The sequence below is a fragment of the Homo sapiens genome, chromosome 5 (assembly GCF_000001405.40).
Source record: "Homo sapiens chromosome 5, GRCh38.p14 Primary Assembly".
NCBI lineage: Eukaryota > Metazoa > Chordata > Mammalia > Primates > Hominidae > Homo > Homo sapiens.
Genome location: NC_000005.10, coordinates 119,262,185 through 119,282,826, shown reverse-complemented (window position 1 = coordinate 119,282,826; position 20,642 = coordinate 119,262,185). Strand labels below are relative to the sequence as shown.

Genomic DNA, 20,642 nt, shown 5'->3' with positions numbered 1-20,642 from the left:
GACCAAAAAGATCAGTCAAGAAAGGAAAGGGCAGGAAGGAAGAAAGGGCCTGTCTGGGCAGGTGGAATCCCTGGCACCCACTGATGCAGTGGTCAGAAAAGGAAGGTCACAGAGAGGCTGGGGTCTATGCCCCACATGCCAGGGGCCTAGGCTGTGAAACCCAGGAAGGAACAGATCAGGGTGTAGACAAAGAAAAGGGCAAGCAGGCGTGGGGACCACAGTGGCCTTACTGTGGAGTCAGACACTCTGTGCGCCAGGAGTTCCCAACATGCTAGTCCTGAAAATGCAATACAACAAGAACACAGTCTGAAAACCTGACACTGAATCCATGGGACAACCCAGAACCAATGGGTGCTGCACCCACATACCTTCTGCTCAGGGGAAGGGCCCGTTTCAAGGAGCACAAAGGCAAAGCCTCACCAGATCAGAGGAAAAGAGGCAAAGGGATGGGACAGTTCCCAACAGGCTAATAAGAAAAAGAAAAAAGCCCACATCCTTCCACAGCATTTATTTCATAAACAAATATATATTTAGTGTTAACTGAACTCTTTACAAGGTCCAGCAGATGTTACAAAGATAAAAAACCTACAGCTACTGAGAGTAAGTGGCTTATTCTGGGTCAAGAGCAGAAAGAGATTATTTGGGAACAGGGTTGACCAAGTCACACACTCAGATTTGGTAACATAACAGCTCACTAGTTACAGTACTGGAATGCTCATACTCTGTTGACTGAATGAAATGATATATAGTTGATACTCTGAAAAGTGCTAAAAGAGTAGCACGTATAGCAGGAAAACATTGAGATCATCATCATTAGACTCTTTCGGACAACAATAGTTTACGTCAGAAGAAAATGGAGTGACATATTTAAGATTCTCAAGGAAAGAAAATTTGAGCCAAGGATTTTATATCAGACAACAGTGACCCTTAATTATAAAGGTCACAGACCAAGTTTTATCAACTTGAAATTAGGGAATATTGTTCTCATGATCCCCTCCTATTAAATCTACTAGAGAAAGAGCTTCAATCAAAATGTCTAGAGACACTGATATGAGGACAAGTGATAAGCATGATATATACAACAACCTGTACAAATAAGACTAAATGAGTATTAAAAGGGAGATATTTTAATATATAACAATAATAAGATCTGATGATGCAGAAGTACTAAACCATTTTTTTAAGGTGGGAAAGAATTAGTATGGCATATGCCAAAGAAATTATTTTTATTGTTTTCAGTAATCATAGCTGGTAATGGTAGTATTAATGTCATTATTTGGAGACGATTTGTGTGTAATATGGGGTAATCAAATAGGTAATTACACAATAGTCTATTTCCCTTGTGACCAAAAAACCAGGATTCTAAGTGTGGAAGAAAAGGAATAAAAATGTAATATATAAGAGGTTAAACAGAAACCCTATAGTCTTGAACTTTAATTGGAAATAGCATTATGAACTCACAAAGTATTTTATCTTTATATGAGTATTTATGTTTGCATGTAAGTGTGAGAGAGAGAGAGTGTGTGTGTGTGTGTGTGTATGTGTGTGTGTTTCCCAGCTCTGACCGAGGAAAGGCCTATAAATACTAACCATTCCAGTGAATGAGGATTCCCAGCGTCTGGACTATAGTCTTGAAATACCATTTCTCGCTAAAAAATAACCAGGGTTTCTTGGGAAAATGGTTGACTCCAGGTATAGGCAAGAAATGTACAAGACAAGCATGGATCACCTTAACAAATCAAAGAGCAGGAAACTAACAAGAATACTAAGGTCAGGTCAGGAGGACTTAGGGGCCAACTGAAGAGGCTCCCATTGGTCAAAGATGGGACAATTTGAGTCTCAGTAAAAACTAAAATTTCAATAGACTAAAACCTATAAAAAAGATTTAATTCCATGAGCTCATAACAATTAAAAAAAAACCCTAATCAGTGATCTTCTGAGAATGACATGAAATCAATTCTTGAAAACTGAGTAAATCAAAGGAAAGAATCAAGCATTTATCATCCCTTTCCTATGTGAATTGTACCACTGGGCAATCAAATAACAGATTGAAAAGGCGTCTATCCTTATAAAATTATTCCAGCTAATAAATAAAATCAAAATGATAGAATTAGAGTATCACCATTCTGCAATTGCCCCCACTGAATTAACAGATCGAGACACTGAGGATCAACAGCTGCTAACATCAAAAGAGTGGAAAAACCAGACCCCATGTGTCTCCCAGTGAAAGAATACACCACCATCTGTAATCTTGCCAAAGGGATGAGACCTGAATCTGATCAAGTCTCTGGATCCAGATACAGGAAACAGAGGGAAAAGCAGTAAGTTAAACTGTACCGTGAGTGTGAATCTTTCTTGTTATCAACACTGTGGGAAACTCTACAAATTAAACAGCCCAGGTCCTGCAACAAATTAAAAAAAAAAATTTAAAGGAAGGAGACTCTGGTAGAGGGGTCTGTAGATTAAAAGAGACTTAAACATCTTTTTTTTTTTTTAATGGGTAAGACTAAAACTCAGTGGGTCAGGCTGCTCATTTGGGTAATAAAACCATAAAGAGATGCAAGGAAGTAATTACTATAAAGTCAGGATGGCATTTATTTTTGGAGGAACAGAGGGAAATGTGATCAGGATGGGATGTAAAATTTTGGTCCCTCTGGCAAAGTTCTATTTCTTGACCTAAATGCTAGTGATATATATGGGTGTTTGCTTTGTAATAATTCACTAAGTTGTGTACATTTGTTTTGTGTGGCTTTTTGATATTTATGTTTTACAATAAAAGTATTAAAAAAGCATTAAGAAAATCTAGGCATATCAGCACAGTAGCCAACTGACGGAAAAAATTGCAACGTGTCTCTCAGTGCTAGGTGGAAAAGTGTAGGGACCCAGTAATAAATCAGACAGGAACCAGCATCTTACGAACACTGTTTCAATGAACTTTTCACTTTGAAGGTAAATAACTGAATGTACACTGTTTAATTAAAATTTGCCTTATAACACTTTAAATTATTTTTAAAAGCATATAACAAATGACATGCTCCAAAATACCTCAAGAGCAATCTCAATTCAAAATGACTTCCTAGAGTTGGGTGTGGTGGCATGCACCTGTAGTCCCAGCTACACAAAAGGTTGAGGCGAGAGAACTGCTTGAAGCCAAGAGTTTGAGGTTGTAGTGTGCTATGATTGTGCCTGTGAATAGCCATTGCACTCCAGCCTGGGCAACAGAGCAAGACCCTATCTCTAACAAACACATATAATAAATAAAAAAAATAAAATAACAAAATAACCTCTTAGATATCTACCAGAATTGCAATGAACAGTCGGGCATTGGGTTCTCACAAATACAAGATGACACATCTCACACTCCATGAGGTATGGCATGACCAGCTCTGCACACCACCATGGTTCATCCTTCTACTATTAAAAACAACAAAATGTGAAGAATGAAACATGGAGACAAGCTTTGTAGCAGAACCAGACTGGTTGGAGAGGCAACAGCCTTTGAGAGTTCACAGAAAAAGAGGGTGTTTGTGGCAGTATTATTGAAGAGTAACACCCTGTAGCACAAGTATGGGAGGGCAGCTGAGCCACCAGAGTGTAAATCCCAGCGTGGCCAGGCATTCACAGCATGTTACTTAACCTCCTTAAGCCTCAATTCCTTATCTGCAAACAAGGCTTAACAATAGTATCTTTCTCATAGATTCCTCCTGAAGATGAAATTAAATAATGTGTATAAAGCACTCAGCACAGTGCCTGCTGGCCCACCCTACGTACTCAACAAGTGTTTGCCATGATTACTGGGATGGTAAACATTTCTGGAAAATTAAGGAATTCTCTATATGATGGATACCTTTCTGGCTGGAATGTAGGATGCTTTCCCCAAAGTAAGTAGTGCTATTTTATAAACCCATGACCTTTAACATCAAAAAATCACTGCTTCAAGATACTTCCAGTCAGTTTTAAAATGAAAAAGAATAAGAAAAAGTCACTGCTAGTAGTAATTATGTATATGTGATTTTCAACACCTTCCATATTATTATTTGGTTTTCTCCTCCCAACTACCATCATGGGTGGTTAGTTTTAACTCCAATGAAACCTGGGATTATTAGTATCAGGAATACTGATGGCTGTAACTGGCCTTTAGGGAATGGGAGCCCAGGGTTAGTACAGATGCTTCTTGTCCACCCTGTAACCATGCCCCTCCCCTTCCCCTATGGGCACAGCCAACCTCCCACAATAGAGGTTCTCCCTCAATGCCCAATACTCACTTTCACAGCTTCCCTTAAGGCTGTGACTCAGTTCTGGCCAATGAGGCTTAAAGAGGCTCCAGGAAAGATTTTACTCCCGGATGAAAAGGGATAGACACTACTAGAGAAGCAATTTATTGCTGCCCTCTGTGTCCACCCTTCACACACACACACACACACACACACACACACACACACACACACACTCTCTCTCTCTCTCTCTCTCTCTCCCCCTTCCTGTCTTAAAAAGAGGTTGGCAGGAACCTGTGATACCTGTTGCTGAGAAAGCTATTTCCGCCCACAAAGAGGCAAGTCTGCAGATAAAAATGTAACATGCTAAGGATGAGAATAGATAGAACTGGTCCCTGATGACACTGTTTAGCCAAGGATCCAATCCTGAATCTACCCAATCCCAGACTGCCCTTCATATAAGACAATTTAATGTCTTTACTATTCAAATCACTGTTCATTGGCATTTGCTTAATTGCAGTCTAAAACATCCCGATTGTTATGATCTGAATTGTGTCCCTCCTGCTATGGTCTGAAGGTGTATCTCCCCTCAAAATTCATATGTTGAAACCTAAACCCCAAGGTGGTGGTATTAAGAGGTGGTTAGAAGTGATTAAGTCATAAGGGCTCCACCCTTATGAGTGGATTAGTGCTTTTACAAAAGATGTTGAAAGGTGTACCCCAGTGCCTTTTGCCCCTCCACCTCCCATCTCATCTACCATGTGAGGACACAGCAAGAAAGCACCCTCTTGGAAGCCCAGAGCTGCCCTCACCAGACACTGAATCTGTGGGTGCCCTGATCTTGAATTCCCAGCCCCCAGAACTGTGGAAAATAAATTTCTGTTCTTTACAAATTACCCAGTCTCAGATATTTTGTTACAGCAGTACAAACAGACTAAGAAACACCAAAAAGTTCATATGCTGAAGACTTAACTCCCAATATCTCAGAAAGCAACTGCATTTGGAAACAGAATGTTTAAAGAGGTGACTCAGTTAAAATTAGTCTTAAGGTGGTCCCCAATCCAATTTGATTGGTATCCTTATAAGAGGAGAGCTGGACACACAGACGCCAAGTGTGCGCACAAACAACAAGCTGAGAGGATCTGTGGCCAGTAGACGTGAGCTATAATATTAAAAATTTTTATTCTTCAGGCTGAAGGACAAAAAAAAAATCCCTGATGGAAACTTGTGTCTACACTAAAAAATCAAAAGCCCCACACACAGTAAATGCGTATTTTTCTCCTGTTTTAATTTCTTCAAAAGATCATTGTTTAAAGAAAAAAGTAACTATAATTTGTAGGGATTATACATAGATACAGAAATAAACCATATGACAATCACAACACAAACGGTGTGGTCTCCTCAGTAGTCCCCCGTATCTATGGTCTCGGTTTCCACAGTTGCAGTGTGACCACAGACCATGCAGTCTGAAAACAGGTGAGTGCAGTATACAAGATATTTTGAGAGAAAGTGAAGACAGAAAGATCATTTTTATATAAATCTTATTACAATATATTGTTATAATTGTTCTATTTTATTATTCGGTATTATGGTTAATCTCTTACTGTGCTTAAATTATAAATTAAATTTTATCATAGGTACATATGTATAGGAAAAAATATAGCTTATATAGGGTTCAGTACTATGTGCAGTTTCAGGCATAGACTGCAGGTCCTGAAAAGATCCTCCCTGTGTAAAGGAGGACAACTAATATCCTTTATAAAGGCGATTGTTATAGACTGAAATGTACCACCCAAATTCATATACTGAAACCCTGATCTCTAGTATGGCTGTGTTTGGAGACAGGCTTTAATAAACAATTAAGGTTAAATAAGATCATAAGGGTGGGACCCTAATCTAATATGACTGGCACTCTATGAAGAGGGAGAGACACCAGGGTTGTGCACAGAGAAATGTTCTTGTGAGAATACAGCAGAAATGTGGCCATCTGAAAGGCAAGGAGGGAGGCCTCAGGGAAATCAAACCTGTTGACGTCTTGATCTTGAACTTCCAGTCTCCAGAACTGTGAGAATATAAATTTCTGTTGTTTAAGCCACCAGTCTGTGGTATTTTGTTATGGCAGCCCTTAAAAACTAATACACTTATATAGAACACTATCATCACTAAAGGCAACCATAAAAAAAACAGAACTTACAGGCCAGGTGCGGTGGCTCAAGCCTGTAATCCCAACACTTTGGGAGGCCAAGGCAGGTGGATCACTTGAGGTCAGGAGTTCGAGACCAGCCTGGCCAACATGGTGAAACCCTGTCTCTACTAAAAATACAAAAATTAGCCAGATGTGGTGGTGTTTGCCTGTAATCCCAGCTACTCGGGAGGCTGAGGTAGGAGCTTCGCTTGAACCCGGGAGTTAGAGGTTGCAGTGAGCCAAGTTTGCACCACTGCACTTCAGCCTGGGAGACAGAGCAAGACTCCAACTCAAAAAAAAGAAAAAAAAAAAAACAGAACTTAACGAAAGACTGATTAAAGCGTAAAATTCAGTGTGGATATGCTTGTTGGGCTTGGGTGGTTAATCCTCTGCCCCTGCCACCTGTCTCCGCAAGTCACTGCCCAACCTCCTCTATCTGCCTCATTTCCCTAATGGTAAGGCTGAAAGGCCCTGGTGTGCTCAACTCCAGGGCAGCAAACCTGGGGGATGGCTGACTACAGAGGAAGGCAGAGGCCAGACCTGAATTAGTCAGTTTCATAACCTGTTATTCTCTGTTCAAATATTTAAATCTAGAGGGGAAAAAAAAAGCTGTCAATCTACTAAAATTAATACTATGTTATGATCAGTAGCAAACCTTTATTATTCTAATTTCCATGGCCCCTATTAGAATGATAAATTAAAAACTGACTAAAATTCAGAAAAAGGGAAGTCTCAAGTACTGGCAAAACCCAAAATGCAAAAGAAGCAGGAGGAAGTTACAGAACATGGCTTCAAAGAAAAAAATGGTCTGTTTTTCATTTTCTCATTTTCTACCATTACAAAATGAGAGGGACACTCTGAGAACAGAATAGATTCCTGGAGGTACCAGGACCTCAGGACAGGAAACAGGCCTGGGTTAGGGGAAACGGTCCGCTTGGCAACTCCGAGTCCTGAGTTGGGCCCGTGCTCTTCCAAACATGCGCCGCTGTTGAAATAAGGATGCCCATCCCAGTTCAGTATCTACAAACCACCTGAGTTATCCTTAAGTCAGCTGGCATACTGGATTTATGATGTCAGCATTGTTGGTGACTCAAGTCTAGATTTTCAACTAATGAACACTGGGCAGACTCTCCAATGTCTCTGTTTCATGGCCTTCAATTTCTGGATCTATTTGTGGGACACCACTAATTGTTTTGGTTGTTATTTTTTGTTCTTGACCTGGTTGCTTGTTAATATTTTTCCACCCAGTGAAGACCTATAAAAACAACTTTGTTATTTCTTAAGATGGGTACATAGGTGTTCATTTTATATGTTGTGTTTATTTTATATGTTGTGTTCATTTTAATCTTCTTTAAACTTTAAAGCCACTCTGTACTTTCAAGAGCTCTTTCCACTGCCAAAAAAAAAAAAAAAATTAAAAAAAAATCCCTACAGCTAGCTGCTGCCTGAATAAGCTTCTTTCTAGAACAAGACAGGAAAATGAGTCACATAAGTCTCCCAGGCTAGGGGTTCTCAATTTGCATCAAGCTTCACTGGTGATTCTGACTTAACAGTCAGGTTCACAGGAATAGTCCCAGATGAGCCCTAAAATACAGCACATTGGATAAGTTCAAAGTTTCATTTGGTGTATCACTTTTGTAGCTGCCCAGATAATGATGTTCTCAAACTACCCTACCTGGGCAGAGCTTCCCTGCCAGGGAGGTGATAAGCACCACAGGTACACAGGGCAGGGAATCCTTGCTTCCTCAGGAGGCTCCCTATTTACACAGGGTCTCTTACCTTGAAAAGTAATAGCAGCCTGTTCCTTCAGGCACTATCAGTCATTCCAGGTCATAAAAGCAAAGGAGCAAAGTGGCTACGTGTGTGCAAACAGAGGTCATCACCGGATGTTGGGAAGGCCTGAGTTCACTCACCTCTTCCAGGTATACCTCATGAGTCACTAGCAGCCTAATTCTGCCTCAAGGCAAAAGGAATTCCATCACTAAGTGAGGACTGCTCTGCCCTTCAAGTGTAGCAAAACAGTATTTAACCAAACACCTGCCATTTTCCAGAAAACAATCTCAACCCTTTAAAGAGTGAAGAAGGAAAAATAAAAGAGTAGTTTCCTGACCACAGAATGATGGAATGAGGTACTGGACTTACTTCCCAAAGATTTACGTGACCAAAGTTTGTTCTGAAACTTGCACTGTTGCCAACACTGTCCATGCATTTTTTTCTCAGAAGACTGGCATTTTTTTTCGTGTCTGCATGTGTGTGAGGGTCTGAACACAGTCAGAAGAGAGCTCAGGACAGGAAAGACGAGTGTAGTTAGGTCTACATAGCACACACCACAATCTCTGTCTCCCCTATTTTTGTTGACAGCCATGTTGTAAAACCAAACAAACAAACAAACAAAAAACCTCATTTTGTTAAACAAATGATAAATAAGAGTAATAAATAAGAGTTAGGAATGAGGAAGGCTTGAGCTAAATGAATTTGGGTTGAAGGAGTAAGAGCCAGGCTTAGAGAGGGTATTGACAGAGTGAGCTGTTGCTTACTTTTTGGCTCCTTTAAAATATCCAAGAGTCTACTGTGTGCCTTGCTGAGTACTGTGTTCCCAAAAGACCTTGCCCCGGTGCCTAATCCTGCAGATGCGGTCCCTGCCCTGGGCCTCCCGGACCTCACGCAACTTCCCCTGAAGACATGCCAGCCCGATTCCCTTTGCAACACCAAGGGCAGCTGTCTGTCTTAAATAATCTGGTTTCATTCACTACCTGTTTTAAACATGGGAGTTGTGAAAGGCCAACCCACTGCTCACAATTTAACTGTAATAGGTCTTTTGAAAGCTTCCCTCATGCAGAGAAGCTTAATGGGTACTATGGCTCGTCTTCGTTCTCAGGCACATAAAACTCGAATGCCCTGCTCTGGCTCACTTATCTTTGGCAGCAGCGGTGACATTTCCCTTATATAATCATGTGACCCTGCAGCTAGCAATCACTGAAGTTGTGCTACATTCACCCCATTCTCTGGGCTCCTCTGGCATTGTTAAAGGAAAAAAGAATTCATGCTAAAATCACATATGACACAAGTTACTACTTTCCCTCTCTACTCCACTGTGGCTCAGTACTAACACTTACTGGAATGAGACCTATTTGGCCAATCTAACTAAGTCCTCCACTTAATGGGTGCCTTCTGCACACTGATACAGGAGAGGAACATCTGGCTTAATCTGCACAACAATCCTATAATATAAATACTATCCCCAGTTTTTACTCTGGTGAAGAAACAGGCTCAGAGAGCTAAGTAGATTGTCCAAAGCCACACAGCCAGCAGGGGCTGAGACATGAGCTGCTGATTCCAGCAAAGTCATTTGGACCAACTACTTCTTGACTAAAGTCATCTTTATTCCCAATGTTTAAGGAAACTACAAGTGGAATTTTGAACTTAATTCCATTCTGTTATTAAAGAAACGAACCCAGAGGTGTTTACGAGTTAGCCTGGAGTCTCAATCCTGTGACCACCTGCCCGCAACCCTTGTTTTTAGTGGAAAAGATCTGTACACCTAGCCCCCCGTCACCTTGACAGAAACATCACCATGTTGGTTTTTAATCCCCCTTGTCCTATACGGAAAAGGGCAAGCCTAGGAAAACAACCTTTTTGGCACACACCCAGCTTTGCAGCTGGTTCTGAACCTCAGCTACCTTAGTTCTGAACCATAAACACTTGCTTCCAGAGAAAAAACAACTGCTGTCTAAAAGGATGGGCTGGGTATTATTTGATTATTGCTGAGCCTGTGACATTTTCAAACAATTCTCAGGTAACTTATGTCTGATGTAAAACAAAATCCTATGGAATCAGGTTTGTTTCAGTAATACCACTGGTTATTTGAAACAGATGTTGGCAGAAATGTGCTTCTTTTGAGTTTCTTATTGTTGAGAAAGACAAATATTTTGAATATCATTCTACTGCCCTTGTGAAACACAACAGAATTCCAAACCCATTTTTGCCACTAGCAACTTACCTTCAGGGACTCCTTCTTATCAACAGACATCTTTACGCAAGTTACCTGCCTTCTCAAATCCCAAGGATTTCATGTAAACATGAGAAGGGTGTGCTGTACCAGGCACATAGCAGGAGCTCAATAAATGCCTGCTGTGTGAATGAATGGTGCTCTCCTCCTGCAAGCTGGACTTAAGGAGATGGACACCTCCAAAGTTGAGGAATAGCAACCATATGGTGTAAGGCCATAGACCAGGTGGTTTCCAAGATACCCCTTGGCTCTGCTATTCTAGAATTATCTACCCTCCACTTGTAGCTCATTTCCTCCTCTTCAGGCCAAAATGTAGGCTAAAAATGAACTGACCTCCTTTACATTTTGCAACATGGTTCTCTGTTTTTGTTTTTTACCCTCTACAAATTATTCATTTTCAGCTACTGGGCAGCACAACTGAAGTATAGAAGCCTAGAAACTGCAGTTGGCTCAGACTCCAGGGCCACAGTCATCAAAACCAGAGACAAGAGTATGGGAAGAAAATTCTTAGCCAGAGGGAAACATAAAGGTTGGGTGTTACGAGGGCCTTTTCAGTGTTTGTTGAGTTCTTGCTGTGTGCATTTGGTATTAAATGCAGGATGTGGGCAGTGTGAGGAGGGGTGAGGTGATAAAAGTTAATCTGGCACCACACAACTCCTTCCCTTAACTTCTGTATCAGAGCCAGAGATCCCTGAGAATGCCAAAGCAGGGAAAATTGTCCACTTTGTTATCCAGATTGGCCCCTGTGCATGTCGCCATTGCCAAAGTCAATGCCCCTGGCACTGGAATTGTACTAATAGCCCCTATGCCCTTCCCCTCTGTGAAAAAGCAGGTGGCCCTTATTTATCATCACTGCTTCTCCCGTCTCCTGGAGGTTATCCCATTTTCAGCCCCTTCAACTGCTATCACGCATAAATGGAGGCAGTGAGGAATGGACCATTCTACATGAGGTAGATCAAAGCTCAATTCTGAGAATGAATGAAATCTCCAGGAAGGGTGTTACTACCACATTGGGCTATCTTCTGCAAAAGAGGATTAATTGGATCAATTAAATATGAGACCTCTGCAGTGCCTGGCACTGTGGCAGACTCAACTTTAAAGATCACCTCTGTGAAGTTCTCCAAGCCGTAAGTCACATAGAAATCCACTCCTCCCCCAACTCAGCATTTCCTAATTAGTACTGTTTGGATGCAATCATTCCTCTCCACACACCCTTTCCTCCATTTCAACAGAATGAGAATTGCAAAGAACTGGCCTCATAAAATACTCTGTTCCTGGCCTCTGCAGTGTGTTCACCCCCAGGTTTCTGCTATTCTGTTTAGGATCCCAGGACAGCCTGTCCTCACGACAGCTCAACACGTAAACAAAGACTATGTCTAGCAATATAGTCTGAAATAGAAAATTAAGAGACAACAAACATGAGATTTCTCAACTCACACCAACTTTTCTTGGTGAGTTTAAACACACTGGAACAAAAGGTACACGGAGTAAAAGTTGCCCTTAAAGAAAGTGTTTAAAAGGCCCATTTGTGCAGGATCACTATGCTTTTGGTAGAACCTTGTTTTATTCACTGATTTATTAATAATTCTTAAATCATCACATAATCTAGATTAATATAATGGTTTATAAAGTCTACATATGTCAATCCAAAGAGCTTAACACAACACATTCAATATCTAAGGGATTCATATTTTACAGAGGAGTAGGTGGTAGTCTACTTCCCTAAACTTTATTTACTCAGATTACAAGTAAAAACTGAAAAGATGGGCAGTGAATGCCAGAGGCAATTAATGTGTATGGAGGACAAAAGGCATCCAAAAAATCTGCAAAAAAGCAAATTGTGTTACTAGCTAGAATATTAACAATTACTTGTGGGCCCCTGTAGTCCCAGTTACTCAGGAGGCTGAGGCAGGAGGATCACTTGAGCCCAGGAGTTCAAGACCACCTTGGACAACATAGCAAGACCCTGTCTCTAAAAACAACAACAACCATAGCTTGCTGACTTAACTGCTCATGACAGATCTAATTAGACGGTGGCAATAAACGTGTCTAAGTGTTTCATCAAACGTGATAATTATTTCTTTCCTTAAAGAGAGATGGAGTCATATGTTTACACTGCAAAGTATAATGTTTCCTTAGTTAAAACAGTGTGGAAACACTTCTGTGTAATACAGGATTCAAACCAGGATAAAAATATCGGCTGCGATAAGCAGCACTTACAGTGATTTATCAACTCTTACCTTTCATGTGCCAATGCACAATGGCTTCTTAAAGCCTACCCTTTTTGGTTATTTCCTTTGGCCACACAGCTTTGTTATCCTTACCCTCGAAGAATAATTTCTACTCAGAATGTGATTTTGAACATTTCATAAATGGATTATTATCAAGGAAGTAGGAGAATATTTTACTTTCATAGCAAGAAAGTAGCAAGAATAAACTGAAATGTAGAACTCAGAGAGACTATTAAAATTAGATAGGACCCCAGCAACCAGGCAATCATTTTATAGATGAAGAAACTATTTGTACAATACTGCTGTTATGATACCATAGCTTCCAATTAACTTTTTAAATGTAGAAATATGTCCTGCATTGAGGGAGTACTGACCCCCACCTCCCCCCATAAAAATAATTATGTAGGGATGGAATTATCAGTCTTAAGCAATCCAAGGATTTTCTTGTTTCAACACTGGGCACTGAACTACTGTTTGATTCCTTCCATGATTCCTCTAGGGATACTGCTTTTTCTACTTAGAGCTTCTGTGTTTTCGAAAATCTGTTGGTTTAGAAATACAGTGTCACTGAAGCAATAAACATATTCAAGGTGCCTAAGCCTGTTGGGTCAGCCTGGTCTTGAACGTGCCTATCAGTCGCGAGGAGTCCGTGGAGCCTGGGCGCTCATCAGGTGTCTTTGCAGCAGGTGCTGAGGGCTCCAGTGCGACATGTGCAGTCATGTACACACACACACATACACACACACACACACATTTTCTTCCTCAAAGGAAGTCTCCACCGAATGATCTCAAAGCAGGGCTCTGGTCTCTGCCCGTTTTACAATGCAAGGTTGGATTACAATCTCAGGCCAGCATCTCAGTCTGCAATCTGGGGCACCCTGATAACCCGGGCAGTGCTTTCGCCAGTATGTGCGGTTACAGGAGGACGTGACAAATAGCGGGAACCCAGTTACAAAGGGAGGGAAGGAATGAGGCTCACGGCAGGAGGTGGTTAAGAGGTCGCCCTGAATAGGTAAGGGTTCCTAAAAGGGGTCTTGGATCCTCAGTGCGGCACTGGAACCGAGTAAAATTTCGCGGAGTTTCCGAGGCTGTGCGCTCCTGCACACACTCGTACGCACACCCACCTAAACAAGTTGTTCAAACGCACCCACTCACACTCACTCACACTCGCTTCAGAAACTCTCTGAGCCGGAGGCGCTCCCCGAGAGCAGCCCGCAGCCCAGCGGCGGGAGAGGCGCGCTGGAGTGTGCGCGGGACGGGCGCGCCCAGGAGCCACTTACTCGGAGGAGTGGCGCGACGGCGCCGGGACGCTGAAGCGCGAGCTGGGCTGTTTGGCGGCGCCGAGTTCTCTGCTCTCTCGGTGGCTCACGGGTTCCCGCGGACCTTAGCCAAGCGCGGGTTAGAGCCGGCGGGAGAAAAGGAGGCAGAGGCCAGGGGCGGAACTTGCAGGAGGGACCAAGGGTGTGGCGGGCAGGCCGGGGAGGAGCCGGGAGGTCGGGGGCGGAGCGTGCAGGGAAGGAGGAGCCGAGCGGCTGGGGCGGGGCATGGCGGGGCGGAGTGGGTGAGGAGGAGCTGGGGACCGGACAGCAGGAGTCGGAAGTGGCCCAGGCGCAGGAGAGCGCGGAGAAGGGCTGGGCGGCGGCCCGGGAGCCGGACTCGGACCGCGAGGCCCAGATCGCTGGGCGCTGGAGAACAGGACCCTCTTGGGAGATGTGCATAGGATACGGTATTCCTGAGCCTCTCAGTTTCTTCCGTTGTAAAAATGAGACGCCAACCTCGTAGTGTGTTGAGATGGTTAAATGGGGCCATACACATTTGCACTGTGCCTTGCACTTAACAAGAACGCGTGAATGTTAGTGTCTGCTGCCATCATTATTGACTATTATGATGATGATCCGTGAAAGCCCCTGAATTCCGCCTGCTCTTTTGCTTTTAATTTTCTGCGGGCCTTAAGTCTACCCTACGATAGCTGACGCGCTCCCGATTCCTGGTTTCCATTTGCGGAGAATGCAGGGCTTCCTCTTGGAGTTAAAGACTCATTGGCTCCTGGAAAGCCCTCGCTCTCTGCCGCCCCCCGCGGACTTAGCTGTGACTGTCCTTGCCTGTGGAGCAGAAGGCTTGCCCTCCTCAGGGGCCACCCGAGACCGCCAGGATGGAGTAGGATCTGGACCTTCAGTCTGTTGAGGAGCCCTGGCCCGGGGTAGCCATTTTCAAGGGCGAGGGACCTTGGTGGGAGTACGATGAATCCATCCATACAATAAACATCCATTAAGCACCTAGTACATGGCAGCGGGGGGCAGAGGGCTGGAAATATTAATAATACTAGTAAAACTTAATATGTGTAGGTCACCGTTCTACTCCTTACAACAATCTATGATATAGATCCTGTCGCTATCCCTGTTTTACAAAGGGAAAGGGAGACATCGTGAAGTAAATAGCCTTCCCAAAGAAAGTTACACGTTTGGGAAATGGCTGAGTTTGGCTTGGAGAGAGGAAAGTAAACTCTTGATAGGTGAAATAGACAAAATCACAACACATTTGGGTTTAATGCAAAAGATAGAAACATACACAAGGTACGGAGGTTTTTAAAAGAGGACCTTGTCCTGTGGTTATAACTTTGGGGAAGGGCGTCAGGGAGATCTTCCTGGTGTAGGTGATGTCTGAGCTGGGTTTGGAAGAAGAAATGGGAGCTTCAAAGGCAGCTTATAAGTGAAGAAGAATCACAGTAAACTTTTTCAAGCCTGAATAAGGATGGAGGAGAAGTGGAATGGTGGCCGGAATAAAGCTAAAACAGTAAAACAGGACCAAACTCAAGGGCTGTTTTCCTATAGAAACTAAACAACATTAATTTGACCTTTGATTGGTAGGAAGCCAGAAGGGTTTTAAGCACAGGAGATATGTCAGGTGTGGTTCTAGAAAGTTTAATCTGGAAACATAGAAGATCCCAGAACCAAGAAACTTGCTTAGGAAATATTGAAATATGTCGGTGAGATACTTCAGTAGGCAGAATGAGTAGAGTTACAGAAAGAGGTCCACTTCTTAATCCCTGGAACCTGTAAATATGTTATCTTACATGGCAAAAGAATTTTTGCAGGTGTTACCTTCTCATTCGGTCATGGGAAAAAAAAGAATAAAGAAATTTTGCAGGTGTGATTAAGATTGATGCCATTGAGATGGGGGATTATCCTGGATTATTTCAGTGAGCCCAATCTAATCACATGAATCCCCTAAAATGGAAGAAGAGTGGGTCAAAGAGATTCAAAGTGTGAGAGGGACTCAACCTGAACCACGAACCAAGGACTGTGGATAACCTCCAGGAGCTGGGAAAGGACCTTAGCTGACAGCCAACAAAAAATTCACTTTCTTTATCTGGTCTAGACTTGTTTTTCTTCCACAGTCCTACAACAGCAGAAACTGAATTCTGCCAATAACCTAAATGAGCAAGGAAATGGATCCTCCCTTAGAGTCTTCAGAAAGTGATTGAGCTCTACTGACACCTTAATTTTATCCTGGTGAGACTAATACTGATTTATGGCCTACAGAACTGTAAAGTAATACATTTGTGTTATTTTAAACCCCTAAATTTGTGATCATTTGCTATGGCAATAGTAGAAAACTAATACAGATGCTGAGGGCCTAAACTATGTGGATGGAAAGGAGAATATGCATTCAAGACTTATAAAAGCCTGGAGATTGAGGGGATGGAGGGAGTGAAGGAAGGTGAGTCATGTAGGTAGATTTAAAGGGTTTCAGGACTGGCAGGGTCAGTCGTTGGTGGTGTCATTCAGTGGAAAGAAGGACAAAGATAGGTACTTTCTAAATACCTCTGGATTCTGCAGTAATGCAACTAAACTAGAATTTAAAGGATTAAAAGGGTTTGTAGACACCCAACCTCTCCCATCCCCAAATAATCAGAAACTATCTCTGAATGCCCATGGATAGTGATATTTGTTACCACCAATTGAGAATTCTAATACTGGAACTGCCTTGTGTAAGCTGGATGACTCTGGGCAAAGCCCAAAACCTTAATGAGACTTAGCTTCTACTGTGTGAGATAGAAGGAGAAGCTCCATCTGCATGATTGCTGTGAGAGTCACCCAGGATGTCATGGTGTTTGAAACCTCAACCCCAGTAACTTTCACCATTGCTTGATTTTAGTCTCCCTTGTCCCCGGCTGCACTCTGTAGCAGCACCCTCAGAGCCACCTCTACCTTTATTATCTGTATCTCTGACATTCTATACCCCAACTACAACCTCCCACCCTTGATCCCCACAATCTTCTTTTATCTGATCTAGATTTGCATTTCTTCCACTCAGCCTCTTTTCCTATCCAGCCTAACTCCGAGAGTCAACACATCAGTCACTCCCTTGCTTTATCCCATTGTCCTTTCCCTGTACCCACCTGGCAAATCTTTTTAGCCATCCACATTTTTTATATGGACTACTTAACAACCAAAAAGTGTGAAACTTGGTACCACTACAGATTTATGACCTCAAGTCTCCACTAAGCCATCCTGCAGCCTGCATATCCTCCAGCATCATGGATGGGAAGGAGAAGGGGTTTAATCTTTTTACCATGTCCTCAAGACATTTTTCCCACTCTCTTGATATATGATTTCACTTCCTAGTTCATAGGAAATTTAGAGATCATCAATAGAGAAGTTTCTTGACATCATGCCCCAGCCACCCAAAATGCTCTCTGCATCCACATTCATCTTGACTTCCTTTCTTCTTGTCTCAATGGATCAGAGCAAACTCATTCAGCAGTTCTCTGGGTCCTCGATGATCACTTTCTTCTATCTACAGAGGCCATATCCATTAACTATTCATTCACTTTTATCCTCAATCTTTCATTTCTGTACTTCCCCTGCAAAACATAAAAATGCTAAAATTTAAAAAATAATACAAAATTTAAAATTCTACATGGAGGTCCCACTCTCTCAGCATGATCCACTTTCTAGAACCATCTAAACTTAAGAGACGAGAGACTCTAATGGTAGAAACAATGCAGAGTGACCACTGTCTCAGTGTTTACTTTTGGGGAGGAATGGAGAGTGGGGCACCCCTGAAATCTTAGGCAACTTGCATCCTATCAGTGAGCTCACCGCCCAATGTGTTTAGAAAACAATTCTATGGCACTGGCTTTTGAAAAATGAGAAAGCTTTATTGCAAGTTGACTGGCAAGGTGATAGGATGCAATGCTCAAATCTGTCTCCCCAGGCTGGGGTCTGGAGGGAGGGTTTATAGGCAGAGGATAACTGTGAGAGAGACAGAACAATGCAAGGAGGCATGATCTGATTGGGTCATGCAAAGAGGTGATGCTGGGTCCTTGGCTCTTAAATCCATACTGCAGCAAAACACAGTACCCCTCACTTCTTAATTCCATTCCCATTCTTCAATCTGAGTACTTACATTCTGCTGTGGTTGGCTCCGGGGTCATGAATTGGGAACACTTGGTTTATGTGGGCATGCTCAGGTTATGTGACTTGCAACCCTGGGGTCCTTTGCATTGAAAATCAATTCATCATTTTGTTACTAATGAAATTGAATAGGGCTTTTTTTCCTCTCTGCCTTATTTCATAGTGTGATGATGTTTAGAAATTAGCAAGATAACTAACTTTGCTGTCTTATTTGGGCCAATAGATAATTGGGTCATTTCCTTTTCAAGCTATCTCTTGCATGTTTCCAATTTGGGGCCAATAAAACACATTGGAATCTAGAAGCTCCTAATAACTAGTCCATTACTCAATGGCTAAATATATTCTAAAATAATTGTAGCTACATCTAAATTGATGAATCCTCCCGGACCCAAAAACCCCCAAACTCCATAAATCACATGAAGTAGAGATAGCTGTTACTGTAGCTGCATGCCAAAAATACCTCTGTGCATGCCTTCTATTTTTGTTTCTGCCCAGCTGAAGGTAAGGAAACTAACTCCAGAGAAAGTTGTGAAGTTTTAAAAAATCTTCTAACCCAGTTTTCTTGTGTACTCTTCTCTTTTCCTCCAAGCCCCTACTCTGCTTACTCAGAAGAAAGCATCTTCTTTTTGAGTGTAAGGAAATAATTGTGTGGCACTGTGATACATGCAATAAAAAATGTATGCACAAATAGTCTGGGAGGAGAGAAAAGAAGTAGCTCACATTCCCTGGGAAAATGGGGAAGATTTCACAAAGGAGGTTCCATCCATTTGAGTTAAAAGGATGAACTGGAGTTCGCCAAGCAGAGGAGGATACTATGGGCAAAAGTAAGAGAAAAGGGAAAGATAGGTTTAACATTTTCCAGCAAGCTGCAAAGTACTGAAGCAAAGATGTGCAACTTAAATGCAGCCCACATAAAGGTTTATGTAGCCTTTGTGCCTTAACCACATCTTTGTGGGAATGTGCCAGTGAACCCGCCTGATTCAAAGCATGGCTGTAATTTCACCATTCTTCCAAATTACTCTTTAATTGTCCACTGTTTCAACTCTATCTTTCAAGTCCTATTTATTTTTGGAGGATTATCATAAAATCTTATCTTGTCCTCAAAGTAACCAGATGAGTGAGATGAAGAGTATAGTTTTTTTTTCTATTAAATAATAGAAACTCTGGGATAGAATAAGAATCAAGGTTTTAAGATAGTGATCTTTTCCCATTGCTTTAATAGACCTCAATCGCCTCTCATGGCTATTACATATCACTAGTGACTGTACCTCCATTTTAGAGTATTTTTCACTCTTTAAGCAGAATTATTTACCTCCTATGATAACGTGGGCACAAAAACACATCTCTTCCAAAGAAAGCTTGCTAGACTATAGGCTGCTTCAAAATGTGACTTTATCTACAACTGTCCCCAATTGGGTCAGCCACACTCCCCATGAAACCAAGTTCTTTGTGTGTTTCTAATTGGCCACCCCTTAAGACATTCTTAGGAATTATAGTGTTGTCTCTAGCCGGAATCCTTATTTTTCTATGATTGCACCATTAGTTTCTCTGCGTGGGTTCTTCCCCACCTGAACTATTTTCTCCTTTTGGACCGTCTCAAATCTCATGTGAATCTATCCCAAATACCACAATGACCAGTTTTGTTTTGTCTTGTTCTTGAAGACACAATTTTACTTTTTCAGCTCCTTTTAAGGCCTTTTAAAATAAATAAATATAGCTTAAAGTCCTGGCTCTATTGACAGAGCTATCTTGTATACCTCTACTCACCAAATGCTAGTCCACGTTGGGAATGCTCTACTTGATTTTAAACAAGACAAGTTCCCATCTTAGTCCTGTATTGCTTCAAGCACAGCACCCTTACCTAGTAGATTTTGACTTCCATGTTGTTCTCCTTCAATAGCCTTACTTCTTTCATTATAAATACCAATCCTCAGGGTAAAGAGTTGGTATACTGCTTACTATCATGTATGAGTTCTCACTCTTCATAGCAATGGTCTCCTGGACTTAAAAAATTTATTCAACATCGTTGTGGATTAAAAATTACCTCAGCCAGGCACGGTGGCTCACGCCTGTAATCCCAGCACTTTGGGAGGCCGAGGCAGGCGGATCCCAAGGTCAGGAGATCGAGACCATCCTGGCTAACACAGTGAAACCCCGTCTCTACTAAAAATACAAAAAATTAGCTGGGCATGGTGGTGGGCGCCTGTAGTCCCAGCTACTCAGGAGGCTGAGAAGAATGGCGTGAACCTGGGAGGCTGGAGCTTGCAGTCAGCCGAGATCGCGCCCACTGCACTCCAGCCTGGGTGACAGAGCGAGACTCCGTCTCCACAAAAAAAAGATCTCAAAGTAAAAATATAGCCGAGATTTTAGTTGTTATTCCCTTTGTTAAGATCTCAGAAGGATTTAAGGGTGTGCCATGTAGACCTTTTCTGTGAGACACTAGGATTTCTAAGAATCTGAAGGTGGTACACCACAGCAATCTCACAGGTGGCCCAAGGTAAAGAATAGCCTGTCTCAGAAAAAAAAAAATACTGGTGTGGCTTTTGTCAAGTGGAGTGGTTTATAATTCAGTATATAAGAAAT

The 20,642-nt window shown here is 42.1% G+C and overlaps 1 protein-coding gene across 3 annotated transcripts in view, besides 8 other annotated features; it reads right to left on the bottom strand.

Moving 5' to 3' along the window:
* Positions 1–14,068, bottom strand: part of TNFAIP8 (TNF alpha induced protein 8) — a 130,930-nt gene extending 116,862 nt beyond the window's left edge. For all 3 annotated transcript variants that reach the window (NM_001286817.2, NM_001286815.2, NM_001077654.3), the window contains exon 1: positions 13,920–14,068. Coding sequence is in view for 1 of the 3 variants with exons in the window: in NM_001077654.3 (NP_001071122.1) it covers position 13,920 (1 nt within the window). In the remaining 2 variants the exon portion in view is untranslated. The remainder of the gene's footprint in view (positions 1–13,919) is intronic.
* Positions 7,996–8,045: an enhancer, noted in NCBI's record as "active region_22965". NCBI's record gives its function as "activates an Ori minimal core promoter by ATAC-STARR-seq in GM12878 lymphoblastoid cells {active_cell/tissue: GM12878}" and the evidence as "EXISTENCE:reporter gene assay evidence [ECO:0000049][PMID:35858748]".
* Positions 8,468–8,967: an enhancer, noted in NCBI's record as "H3K4me1 hESC enhancer chr5:118609555-118610054 (GRCh37/hg19 assembly coordinates)". NCBI's record gives its function as "activates a minimal SCP1, AML or CMV promoter by ChIP-STARR-seq in naive H9 embryonic stem cells {active_cell/tissue: H9 hESC(naive)}" and the evidence as "EXISTENCE:reporter gene assay evidence [ECO:0000049][PMID:30033119]".
* Positions 9,042–9,091: an enhancer, noted in NCBI's record as "active region_22964". NCBI's record gives its function as "activates an Ori minimal core promoter by ATAC-STARR-seq in GM12878 lymphoblastoid cells {active_cell/tissue: GM12878}" and the evidence as "EXISTENCE:reporter gene assay evidence [ECO:0000049][PMID:35858748]".
* Positions 9,212–9,301: an enhancer, noted in NCBI's record as "active region_22963". NCBI's record gives its function as "activates an Ori minimal core promoter by ATAC-STARR-seq in GM12878 lymphoblastoid cells {active_cell/tissue: GM12878}" and the evidence as "EXISTENCE:reporter gene assay evidence [ECO:0000049][PMID:35858748]".
* Positions 13,413–13,482: an enhancer, noted in NCBI's record as "active region_22962". NCBI's record gives its function as "activates an Ori minimal core promoter by ATAC-STARR-seq in GM12878 lymphoblastoid cells {active_cell/tissue: GM12878}" and the evidence as "EXISTENCE:reporter gene assay evidence [ECO:0000049][PMID:35858748]".
* Positions 14,003–14,252: a silencer, noted in NCBI's record as "silent region_16264". NCBI's record gives its function as "represses an Ori minimal core promoter by ATAC-STARR-seq in GM12878 lymphoblastoid cells {active_cell/tissue: GM12878}" and the evidence as "EXISTENCE:reporter gene assay evidence [ECO:0000049][PMID:35858748]".
* Positions 14,453–14,502: an enhancer, noted in NCBI's record as "active region_22961". NCBI's record gives its function as "activates an Ori minimal core promoter by ATAC-STARR-seq in GM12878 lymphoblastoid cells {active_cell/tissue: GM12878}" and the evidence as "EXISTENCE:reporter gene assay evidence [ECO:0000049][PMID:35858748]".
* Positions 14,923–14,972: an enhancer, noted in NCBI's record as "active region_22960". NCBI's record gives its function as "activates an Ori minimal core promoter by ATAC-STARR-seq in GM12878 lymphoblastoid cells {active_cell/tissue: GM12878}" and the evidence as "EXISTENCE:reporter gene assay evidence [ECO:0000049][PMID:35858748]".